The 12,062-nt window shown below is 46.7% G+C and overlaps 1 long non-coding RNA gene and 1 pseudogene across 1 annotated transcript in view, besides 2 other annotated features; one reads left to right on the top strand and one right to left on the bottom strand.

The window, feature by feature from the left end:
• Positions 1 to 12,062, top strand: part of FAM85B (family with sequence similarity 85 member B) — a 126,742-nt gene that overhangs the window by 45,872 nt on the left and 68,808 nt on the right. The window lies entirely within an intron of this gene.
• The window catches only part of ENPP7P1 (ectonucleotide pyrophosphatase/phosphodiesterase 7 pseudogene 1), a 62,552-nt pseudogene that overhangs the window by 35,285 nt on the left and 15,205 nt on the right, over positions 1 to 12,062 (bottom strand).
• Positions 535 to 769: a silencer, noted in NCBI's record as "fragment chr8:8038385-8038619 (GRCh37/hg19 assembly coordinates)". NCBI's record gives its function as "represses an EF-1alpha promoter that drives an FKBP-Casp9 reporter gene in an ReSE screen in phorbol 12-myristate 13-acetate-treated (for megakaryocytic differentiation) K562 erythroleukemia cells {active_cell/tissue: K562(+PMA)}" and the evidence as "EXISTENCE:reporter gene assay evidence [ECO:0000049][PMID:32094911]".
• Positions 6,058 to 6,782: an enhancer, noted in NCBI's record as "H3K27ac hESC enhancer chr8:8032372-8033096 (GRCh37/hg19 assembly coordinates)". NCBI's record gives its function as "activates a minimal SCP1, AML or CMV promoter by ChIP-STARR-seq in primed H9 embryonic stem cells {active_cell/tissue: H9 hESC(primed)}" and the evidence as "EXISTENCE:reporter gene assay evidence [ECO:0000049][PMID:30033119]".

Here is a 12,062-nt window from a genome sequence, read left to right as displayed (position 1 = left end):
TTTTTAAAAGACCATCAGTCTGTTCTACCTTTCCTGAAGATTGAGGACTGTAAGGGATATAAAGGTTTCACTGAATACTAAGAGCCTGAAAAAATGCTTGGCTGACTTGATTACTAAAGGCAGGTCTGCTATCGGACTGTATAGAGGTGGGAAGGCCAAACTGAGGAATTATGTCTGACAGAAGAGAAGAAATGACCGTGGTGGCCTTCTTAGACCCTGTGGGAAAGGCCTCTACTTATCCAGTGAAAGTGTCTACCTAGACCAAGAGGTATTTTAGTTTCCTGACTCGGGGCACGTTGAGTAAAGCTAATTTGCCAGTCCTGGGTGGGGGCAAATCCCTGAGCTTGATGTGTAGGGAAGGGAGGGGGCCTGAAGAATCCCTGAGGAGTAGTAGAATAGCTGATGGAACACTGAGAAGTTATTTCCTTGAGGATAGATTTCCACGATGGAAAGGAAATGAGAGGTTCTAAGAGGCGGGCTAGTGGCTTGTACTATAGCATACCCTGCTTTTGCTGGTGTGTGGCAATTAGGCCTGGTGGAACTGCCATCAATAAACTAAGTGTGGTAAGGGTGAGAAACAGGGAAGAAGGAAATGTGGGGAAATGGGATGAACGTCAGGTGGATCAGAGAGATGCAGTCATGAGGGTCAGGTGTGGTATCAGGAATAATGGGGGAGGCCGGATTGAAGTCTGGGCCAGGAACAATGGTAATTGTGGGAGACTCAACAAAGAGTGAGTACAGCAGAAGGAGCCGGCGAGCAGAATGTATATGTGGCAGGTGTGAGGAAGACAATAGATTTTGGAAATTATGAGAGCTGTAGAGAGTGAGTTGAGCATAGTTTCTGATTTTAAGGGCCTTTAAAAGTATTAGGGTGGCAGCAGCTGCTGCACGGAGACACAACGGCCAACCTAAAACAGTAAGGTCAAGTTGTTTGGACAAAAAGGCTACAGGACGCCATCCTGGTCCTTGTGTAAGAATTTCAACTGCACAGCGCTGCACTTCGGCTGCGTGTAATGAAAAGGGTTGGGATGAGTCACGGAGAGCTAGTGTAGCAGGACGAGTTCCAGACAAAACTCCTCAGACACTAGATTAAAGAAGGAAGAGGTTTTTTTATTCGGCCGGGAGCGTTGGCAGACTCGTGTCTTAAGAGCCGAGCTCCCTGAAAAAGAAATTCCTAGCCCTTTTAAGGGCTGACAACTCTAAGGGTTCTACGTGAAAAAGTCATAATAGATCAAGGAAGCTTGAGGAACATGACTGGGGGCTACATACATCAGCTAACAGAACAAAAAGTTTTTACAGTGCTTTCTCATACAATGTCTGGGATTTACCGATAACAACAGTAGTTTTGGTCAGGGGTTAATATTATTGTTACTTTAACCACCAGGGCCAGGTGGTGGCGCCAAAGTCGTCTAGGTATTTATTTTACTTCTGTTTTTTCCAGCTTTTTGCTTTCTCCCTTTTTTGCTGTCTTATAAACTAGGGAAAAGGGGAGGTTGGGGAGAAACTGGGAAGGACAACAGGAGAAGTGGTGGTCTCATACCATATTTTCCCCCTTTGAGCATTTTCACTTTTTAGTGGGAGTTCTCACTCTCATCTTTACTTTTTGAGTCTCTTTGTGAGATAGAGCGATAGTGATTTATATAACACACGTGTGCTGAAGTTTTCTGATGAACCAAAGTAGCAACAAAATCTTTTATCATTTGAAAAAGCAAGAGTAATACACAGGGGAGCAGCAAGTAAGTTCCTATCACTAGCAATACACCTACAATGAGGGTTTTAAATCCTCCTATAGCTGGAAACCATTTTTCAAATAAAGACTCAGGATTAAACTCGTGCCAAACCTCTACAGGCACATGTGCAACCTTTGTCATGTCCCTGACTATGTTTTTAACCATCTGTCCTTGATCATTTATTTGTAGGCAGCAGTTGGTTAAGTTAAATTTTCCACAAACTCCTTCAGCTACTAGCAAGTAGTCTAAGGCCAGTCTTTTCTGATAGATAGCATTCCTCATTTGGGTTTCTTGCAAAGCTAAAACAGTCAAAGCTCTGCCAGTTTCATTAGTAATTATTTCTTAGACGGACTGCAACCGTATGATCCAGTTGAGCATGTAGATGGGGGTTTGGTATCCCCATGAGCCATCTTGTGCCCCTGTGGCAGGCCCATAATACTGAATGATCCTTTCAGGGGGCCACTCATTATCTTTCCAGTTTCCTATAACTATGCCTTTATTTTCTCAGGAGGCATAGACAGGGAAACCTATGAGCTCACCCATTTTTATGGGTAATAAGAAAAAGGACGGCTTAATAGTGCCAATAACACAACTGTCTGCCCATTTATTAGGTAACCGAATGTAGGCTCTGTGCCTACGTATCTAGTATAGTCCAGTGGGAACCGTCCAGTCCTAATGAGATTCTGCATGAGCCTAAGCAGTTTTTAATTTAGAAAATTTACTAAATGGATTCTTTTCAGTGTGGGTTAGGCCCTACTAAGTAATTGTCTTTGTTGTGCTGTTATACAACTTCTGTCCTATACAATTAAGCTTTCCTACAGGGATGATAAAGTCTTTCCCTTCTCTAGCTATACAGTATTGTCTAATAATTGAGGTTTTAGGACCTAGAAGTTGCTAGCTTGGGCCTTCTGAACTGGAATTATATCAGGAGCTGGATCAGTAGACACCAACTCTCGGGCTTCCGAAGGCCATCTGTCTCCGATAGTGGTTCCTCCGCATACATAACAAGAAGTAACATTAAGGGAATTAGCTACATTTTCTGCTAATTGGAGAAACAAATTTTTTGTCTTTTTCGGAAGTTCTGGTGTTGGCAGATTCAGCTCCTCATAAAACGTTTGAAATACTGTTTTGGGAGAGCACTTGTGGACCTCCCCTCTAATTAAAATGGCAACTTGAGGGTTTAACCCTGTCCTATTGATCCCCAGGGTTACGCGTTCTCCCTTTTTCCAAAGGGGATCTAGGGGATTGGTAATTATTAGTTCTAGTGGGTTACAGTGACCGGCGGCCCAGGAGGGGTTGGCTTCTCCCTTCTGAAGATAAACCGAGTCATTTTTGTTCTTTTTTTAAGTAGCCTAAATAACACATGGCCAATAGGCACAATTTTTACAAACCCCTGACTCATGACAAACATATTTATTTTCTACTCTTTAGCTCCTTTCTCAGTTAAGAGAACCATATCCTATTTCTAGCTTTTTACTATTAATGGCTGCACAAGCATCAGATCTTAAAGTTATTTGCTTGGGGATTTCTTTTTCTTCTGTTCTAGTTATTATTTTACTTGTATCACCTAGCAAAAGGCCAGTTCTTATTTCAAAAACGGTGGTTGCAGGGGGCTCAGATGGGCTATAACACGCATCAGGTCGGTCATTTCTCGGGCTACATACCTTGTACTGAGTGGCATTATACAAACAAGTTTCTTTTAATGTTTCCATACATTCATAATAACTATAGAACAGAAAGATTGTTTTAATTTGCTGTCCTACTTCGGTGACCTGATAAATACACTGGGAACAGTCCCCATTTTGAGTAAGGTTAGTTGAAGCCCTTACTGTATAAGTCCAAAATTTAAGAAAAATGAATCTAACGATGAGCTTCCTCGTGCTTCGGCCATGCGTGGACCAGTCAGCTTCCAGGTGTGACTGGAGCAGGGCTTGTCGTCTTCTTCAGGGTCACTCTGCAAGGGTTGTCTGGGCTTGGTCTTGCCTCCCAGGTTTCCGGCGCTGCAGGTTTTACACAGCTGTGGTGGTTCCAGACTGGGATTCCTTCTACCTTCACAGCGGTGGGAGTGCTCAGGACGACAGTCTGGGGTCCGTTCCACAGTGGACACAAAGAGGCTACTTTCCAGTCCTTGATCCACACTCGATCACCTGGGGAGAAAGGGTGAACTGGGGAGAATAAACTAACAGGGCATCTCTCATTTACCCAGGCTGAGATTGTCTGTGTAATTTTTCCTAAAGCCTGTAGCTGTCGCTGTAACTCAATTTCACCTAACTCTCAGGGAGTGCCTGGAAGTCCCCGCAATATAGGAGGGGGCCTATGATATAATATTTCATAAGGGGAATATCCTGTTCTTTTAGAAGTGGTACATCTAATTTTAAATAATACCATAGGGAGAGCCTGTATCCATTTTAATCCTGTTTCCTGACATACTTTCCCTAAACTATTTTTGATAGTTCAATTCATTCGCTCCACCTTTCCAGAACTCTGAGGCCAGGAGGCAGCATGCAGTTTCCGTGTGATCCCCAATACCTTTGCCGCCTTCTGTACTAAGTCAGCCACAAACGCCGGCCCATTATCTGAACTGATCCATAAGGGCAGTCCAAATCTAGGAATAAGATCTCGAAGAAGCACATGAGTTACTTCATGAGCTTTCTCAGTTCGTGTTGGATAAGCTTCCACCTACCCAGGGTAGGTACGCCCAAGAACTAGTAAATACTTGTTACCTCTACACTTTGGCATCTCTGTGAAGTCCATCTGGAGCTCTTCAAAGGGGGCTGTTCCATAAGTTTGTATGCCGGGTGGAACGGCTGGACCCTGCCTCGCATTATGCTGTCGGCAGGTAACACACCACTGCGTCAACGTTTCGGCAAGGGCTGACAAATGCGAGATGTAGAAATACCAGCCTAACAACTTTTCAAGTGATTCCTAACCTAGATGGGTGGTTTCACGCACAGCCAGTACAACTGCAGCTCCTAGCAGCTGTGGCACAGCTACTCTCCCATCCGGTAACCGAATTCATCCTTCCTCCATCACTTGTCCTCTCTCTGCCTGGAGAAAGTCCTTTTCTTCTTTAGAATAAGTAGGTACCAGATCAGGTGCTTGAGGGAGCAGGGGGGTTGTGATTGATGCCCAGAAGGGGGCAGATGCTGCTTTTCGAGCCTCTAAGTCAGCGCAGGAATTCCCTAAACCCACCAAGGTGGAAGCTCGCTTGTGTCCTCTGCAATGCATAACTGCCACCTTGTGGGGTCTCCATACGGCTTTTAATAATTGCAAGATTTATTGTTGATATTTTATGTCTTTTCCCCCAGAGTTCAATAAGCCCTTTTCTTTATATAATGTTCCATGCATTTGAAGGGTTGAAAAGGCATATTGAGAGTGAGTGTAAATGTTGACATTCTTAGCTTCACTGAGTTCTAAGGCCCGAATGAAAGCAATGAGTTCAGCTTTCTGAGCTGAAGTGCCCTGGGGAAACGATCTGGCTTCAGCAACAGTGTCCAGAGTTACCACCGCATAGCTTGCACATCTCTCTCCCTGTGGGTTGATGAAGCTGCTCCCAGCCACGTGTAGTTCCTAGTCTACTGATGCCTAAGGCTGTTCCTGGAGGTTAGGTCTGCTAGAGTAAACTGAGTCCAACACTTCTACACAGTCATGCTCGACAGGGCTCTCTGATACTGGGAGCAAGGTAGCGGGGTGTAGGGTGTTACAAACCTCAATGGTTATGCGGGGATTTTCACAGAGCAAACTTTGGTACTTAGTGAGTCTAGCATTCATTAGCCAATGATGTCCTTTAGTATTCATGAAAGTCACCACAGCATGGGGGGCCTTTACGTTCAGGTTTTGTCCAAGAGTCAGCTTATCTGCTTCTTGTACTAGCAGGGCAGTTGCTGCCAAGGCCCTCAAACAAGGGGCATCCTTTAGAAACCCCGTCTAGTTGTTTAGAGAGGTAGGCCACCGGCCTTGGCCAGGGCCCCACAGTTTGGGTTAAAACACCAACTGCCATCTTTTCTCTTTCTGACACATACAATGGAAAAGGCTTTATTAGATCGGGTAGCCCCAGGGCTGGGGCTGACATAAGTCTTTCCTTTAACTCATGAAAGGCTTGCTGTTGCTGGCATCCCCATTCAGAAAGTTCCCGGTCCCCCCACTTTGTGACCTCATACAAAGGCTTGGCTAATACTGCAAAGTTTGGGATTTACAGTCTGCAAAACCCCACAGCCCTTAAAAATGCTCTCACCTGCCTTCTGGTCTTAGGCTCCGGTAGATTGCAAATGACCTACTTTCTTTCTGATCCTAGGCTGCTCTCCCCCTGTCGGATAGTAAATCCTAAGTAACGTACCTGCTGTCGGCAGATCTGAGCTTTTTTCTTGGACACCTTATACCCACAGTCCTCCAGGTGCCGCAGTAGAGCATCTGTTCCCTTGGCGCACCCGACTGCCGTGGGGTGTCCCAGCAAAAGATCATCAACCTACTGGAGCAACACGCAGTCTAGGTCTCTGGTGGGAAACTTCTGGAGGTCTCGAGGCAATGTCTCCCCGAAGATAGTGGGGGAGTTCTTGAACCCTTGGGGAAGCCGGGTCCAAGTGTACTGAGTAGTGACACCTGACTCCGGATCTTCCCACTGAAAGGCAAACAGCTTCTGGCTCTCAGGGGCTAATCTGATGCTAAAGAAAGCATCTTTCAGGTCCAAGCAGGTGAAGCAGCTGTCCTCAGCTGGCAGCAACCCCAGCAATGTGTACGGGTTAGGTACTGCTGGATGTAAAGTCACTGTAGCCTGATGAAGCAAGCGCAAATCCTGTACCGGCCTGTAGTCCTTGGTCCTAGGCTTGGGAACAGGCAGGAGGGGAGTGTTCCATGGAGACTGACAAGGAACTCTAATTCCAAAAGTTCTTAGGTGCTTGAGATGGACCTGGATACCTTCAAGAGCTTCTCTGGGGACCGGCTCCTGTTTTTGCCTAAATGGCTGGGCCCTAGGCTTAACTTCTATAAGTACGGGGGCTTGGTTGACTGCCAACCCTGGAGGGTTGTCTTCCACCCGTACTCTTGGCCACCGCTTAGCCAGAGCTGGTCTTATCTCTTGGCCCGGCTCAGTTAAGAAAAGTCTCCATTCCTCCTCTCGGGGGACGGTAAGGGTCATAATGACTCCCGTTCCGGGTAACTTTAGCAGCGAAGAGCCATGCTCTGTAAAAGAGATAGTGGCTCTCTGTTTGCTAAGCAAGTCCCTTCCCAATAAGGGCAAGGGACAGTCAGGCGTGGACAAAAACTGATGAATCACTTTATGTCCTCCTACAGTACAAGTCCAGGGCAAGCAGAAACTTGCTTTGCGGAAACCCCTGTGGCTCCGATGATGTCAATAATCTTTTTGTATAAGGGGGCGACCGGGGCGGTTACTACCGAATGTTTAGCACCAGTATCTACAAGAAAATCAATGTCTTTACCCCTAACTGTCATCCTGAACATAGGCTCTTTCGGGGTCCTTGAGCCCGGTCCCCCTCAGTCCAATAACCCTTCTGCCAGGTTGAGCAGGGCCCCTTTCTCCTTGTCTGGAGCCTCTTGCTCCGAATCACCTTGTTTTCTTTTTAGCTGAGGGCATTTGCTCTTCCAATGTCCTATTTCTTTACAATAAACACACTGATTACGCTGCAACCTTTGACAGCCAGGCTGAGTTTCTTTCCCGGGGCCCCCCTTCCCTTGCCTCTTTTGGGGGACCCCTCTGTTTGCTGCCGCTAACAGGTCGGCGTTTCGCTGGGCCTGACGTTCCTTCTCTCTGCAGTTTTCCTTATGGCTTACTGCATCCCTGTTTACAAACACCTGGTTAGCTACTTCTAATAACTGTGATGTGTTCATCCCTGCAAACCCAGCCTGTTTCTGCAGTTTTCTTCTAATGTCTTCTGCGCTTTGACTAACTAAAGCCATGTTAATCATGCATTGATTTTCAGGGCTATCGGGATCAAAGGGTGTATACATACCATAGGCATCACACAGTCTCTCCTAGAATTGTGCTGGACTTTCTTCTTTTCTCTGAATGACCTCAGAGACCTTGTTAACATTTGTGGCCTCCTGGGCTCCCCTCTTTAATCCTTCCAAGAGAGCTTCCCTGTATCGGTTTAGCCTTTGCATATCCTCTCTTTCATTTGGGTCCTTCTGGGGGTCGGTTCCAGTAACTGGGTCCTTACATACTCTTGGGGGTTTTGGTAATCAGCCGGTGCATGTTCCTCTAGCCACTTAGTTGCTGCTTCTAGCACTCTCCATTTTTCATCTGTGTTAAAGAGGAACATGTGCAGCTGGTGACAATCAGTCCAAGTGGGGTTGTGGGTCTGGATATTAGTTTGGAGCAAATCAATTAGAGCTTGTGGCTTTTTGGTATAGGATGGGGTACTATTTTTCCAGTTGAGAAGGTGGGCAGAGGTGAAGGGCTGGTACACAGAAACACGCCTCCCCACCACATGACCATCCTCATCTATCCCTGTATACCGCTGCTCTCTCAGGAGCATTTGGATCCCCGTTTTGGGTCTTAAACGAGCTGCCAAGGGAGGGGTTCCTCCCGAGTCCTCACCTCTTCTTTTGTATACTCTGGATTGCCTAGGGATATGTTTGTCTTGTGGAGGCCCAAGCACTGTGGACTCAAAAGTGGGGAGCCTTTCTCCCTGGTAAGGGGAGGGCACCACTGGGATCACTGGTGCCATCTCCTGCAATGCATGTTCTGCTGTTGGGTTGAACAGATCTTCAGGTGTTGATTTCCCTCGGCGGGTGGAGCACGATCCTTCCTTGGCTATCTGTCCCTACGCTACTAGCACTGCTGCTGCCTGCCCTCTTAGCCACTGTGGGGGGTTTAGCATCAGCTGTAACCAAGTGTCTATGTATGGAAACTGGTCTGAGTGTCCTGACTTACCAATTACCTTGTGCCATACCTTAGAAACAAGGGACCTGCCCAGGCTTCCTTCTGATGGCCAACCCACTTCTAAAGCTGGGCAATCTATTTCACACAAAGTTCTAAATTTCCCTGGTGTCATAGTAACCCTATAGTCTCCATTAAATCCTTTCTTAAAATTTTTCATCATAGTTCCTAGCAGAGTAGGCTTACTTTGTGTCTGACCCACGTTTCCTCGAGACAAAACACCAAGCTCACACCACACGCACACCACAGAACAAAGAATGAGTAAAAAGGGCACACACACACTTTTTCAGTTTTCACCAAACCAGAATCAAAACCAAAATCGGAGTATCCAGAAATCCAAGCCAGGTCAAACCAAAACCAAAGTATCAAGCAATTCAATTCAAGTCAAAAACAAAAACCAAAGTGCCAGTACAGGCACGCCGTGGGTGATCAGGCCACACTTCCACTCAAATAGAGTGGGCAAGTTCCAAAGACCAGTCTTACCAAGTTTCAAATGTCCAGACTCCAAGTGCCTGTTCCTTCCCGGTGTTCACCCACTATGTTGATCCTCCACCGGGGCCTACCACACACTGCTCTGACGAGGCATTCCACCGGGTCAATTGCCTACCCAGGAGAGCTCTCAGGATCCGCGTCGCTCAAACTGGCAGGAGTCCCCCGCAGGGATGCTCCACAGGGCAGGCCTAAGCCGCCTAAAGGGCTGCCTCAACTGCCGTCAATTACCTCGCTTCCCGGTCAGGGAACCAAGACTAGGGTGGGGGCAGTCTTTAAAGCTGTCTTCAAGGAACAGAAAGAGGAGTGGGGAAAGGATTTAGGATCTATGGGGTCAGCTAGGTTTCCTTTTGTGAGTTTATATAATGGTTTTGTTAGGATGGCAAAACCAGATATCTAAAGGTGAAAGTATCCAACCATGCACAGGAAGGAAAGGAGTTGTTGTTTTGTAGAAGGGGTTGGGGTTTGAGAGATGAGTCACACACGATCGGCAGAGAGAGCACGTGTGTTTTTATGAGAATTATGCTGAGATAGGTAACAGATAAGGGAGAAATTTGGGCTTGACTGAAGTAATGGGGGCTGTCTGTGAAGCTTTGCGACAGTACAGCCCAGGTAATTTGCTGAGCTTGATGGGTGTCAGGGTCAGTCCAAGTGAAAGCGAAGAGTGACTGGGATGAAGGGTGCAAAGGAATAGTAAAGAAAGCATGTTTGAGATTCAGAACAGAATAATGGGTTGTGGAGGGAGGAACTGAGGATAGGAGAGTATATGTGTTTGGCACCTTGGGGTGGATAGGCAAAACAATTTGGTTGATAAGGCACAGATCTTGAACTAACTTGTAAGGCTTGTCTGGTTTTAGGACAGGTAAAATGGGGGAATTGTAAGGAGAGTTTATAGGCTTTAAAAGGCCATGCTGTAGCAGGTGAGTGATAACAGGCTTTAATCCTTTCAAAGCATGCTGTGGGATGGGATATTGGCATTGAGAGGGGTAAGAGTGATTAGGTTTTAATGAGATGGTAAGGGGTGCATGATAGGTTGCCAAGGAGGGAATAGAGGTATCTTCTACTTGTGGGTTAAGGTGGGTGGCAATGAGATGTGGCTGTAGTCCAGGAATAGTCAGGGAAGCAGATAATTTAGTTAAAGTGTCTCAGCCTAATAAGGGAACTGGGCAGGTGGGGACAACTAAAAAGGAGTGCTTAAAAGAGTATTGTCTAAGTTGGCACCAGAGTTGGGGAGTTTTAAGAGGTTTAGAAGCCTGGCTGTCAATACTCACAACAATTATGGAGGGAAGGGAAACAGGCCCTTGAAAAGAAGGTAATGTGGAGTGGTTAGCCTCCGTATTGATTAAGAAGGGGATGGACTTATCCTCCACTGTGAGAGTTACCTAGAGCGTCTGTGATGGTCCTGTAGGCTTCCGAGGTGATCTATCAGGCAGTGTCAGTCTTCAGCTGCTAAGCCAAGAAGATCTGGGAAGGAATCAGTCAGAGAGCCTTGGGCTGGAGTTCCAGGGGCTCTAGGAGTGGCTGCCAGGTGAGTTGAACAGTCCGATTTCTAGTTGGGTCTCGCACAGATGGGACATGGCTCAGGAGGAATCCCGGGCTGCAGGCATTCCTTGGTCTGGTGGCCAGATTTCTGGCACTTGTAGCAAGCTCCTGGGGTAGGTGGTTCTGGAGGAATGCCTGGCCACTGCGCTTTAGGCGTTTGGAAGTTCTTGTGTGCTGGAGATTTGGCTGGGCTTTGTCTCACAGTGGAGGCAAGGAATTGCAACTGAGAAATATGTTGCTGCTAGGCTGCCTCTACTCCATTATTGTACACCTTGAAGTTGAGGTTAATTAAGTCCTGTTGTGGGGTTTGAGGGCCGGAATTTAATTTTGGAGTTTTATTTAATGTCGGGAGCAGATTGGGTAATAAAATGTATATTGAGAATAAGACGGCCTTTTGACGTTTTAGGGTCTAGGGCTGTAAAGCATCTCAGGGTTGCTGCCAAACGAGCCATGAACTGGGGTGGATTTTTATATTTGATGAAAAAGAGGCTAAATGCTATCTGATTTGGGATAAAGAAAAAGGAGCATTAACCTTGACTATGTCTTTAGCTCCAGGCACCTGTTTAAGAGTAAATTGCTGGGCAGGTGGGGGAGGGCTAGTCACGGAATTAAACTGTAAGCCAGACCCAGTGTGAGGAGGGGAGGTGATAAAAGGATTATAGGGTGGAGAAGTGGAGGCTGAGGAAGAATTGGGACCTAGCTCAGGCTGGCCAGGATGGGAGAGGTCAGATGGGTCTGTAGAAAAGGAAGATTAGAAAGACTCAGCGACACTTGGGGTTGGGACTGAGGGGACAGGTGGGAGGGAAAGGAGGAAGATTTCGGATGAGTTGCACTGGGAACAGAGACTAGGGAGGGACCAATGTGTAAAAGAATGCCTGGACATCAGGCATCTCAGATCATTTGCCCATCTTATGACAAGAAGTATCTAGATCTTGTAGGATGGAAAAATTGAAAGTGCCATTCTCTGGCTATTTGGAACCACTGCTGAGTTTGTATTGGGGTCAAGTAGCATTGTAGAAGAAAATAAGGCATTTAGGTTTTAGGTCAGGTGTGAGTTGAAGAGGTTTTAGGTTTTGAAGAACACAGCGTAAGGGAGAAGAAAGGGGAATGGAAGGCGGAAGCTTGCCCATAGTGAAGGAGGCAAGCCTAGAGAAAAGAGAGTAGAGACATGGAGAGAAGGGGTGGAGGGTTCTTGCCTTCCAGAATAGAGGGAAAGGGTTGGGGGCACAGAAATAAAGGGTTGGGGTGCAGAGATAAGAGGTCAGGTTGTGGAAATAAGGGATCGGGACACAGAGATGAGGTCAGGGCATGGAAATAAGGGATCGGGGTGCAGAGATAAGAGGTCGGGGTTCCTGTCCCTCCCCCAGAAAAGTGGGACATGCTGCTAAGGGTGAAGGAGAAGGGGT

This window comes from Homo sapiens, chromosome 8 (assembly GCF_000001405.40).
Source record: "Homo sapiens chromosome 8, GRCh38.p14 Primary Assembly".
Classification (NCBI taxonomy): domain Eukaryota; kingdom Metazoa; phylum Chordata; class Mammalia; order Primates; family Hominidae; genus Homo; species Homo sapiens.
Note: the sequence above shows the minus strand (reverse complement) of the source record. Positions and strands in the feature narration are given on the sequence as shown.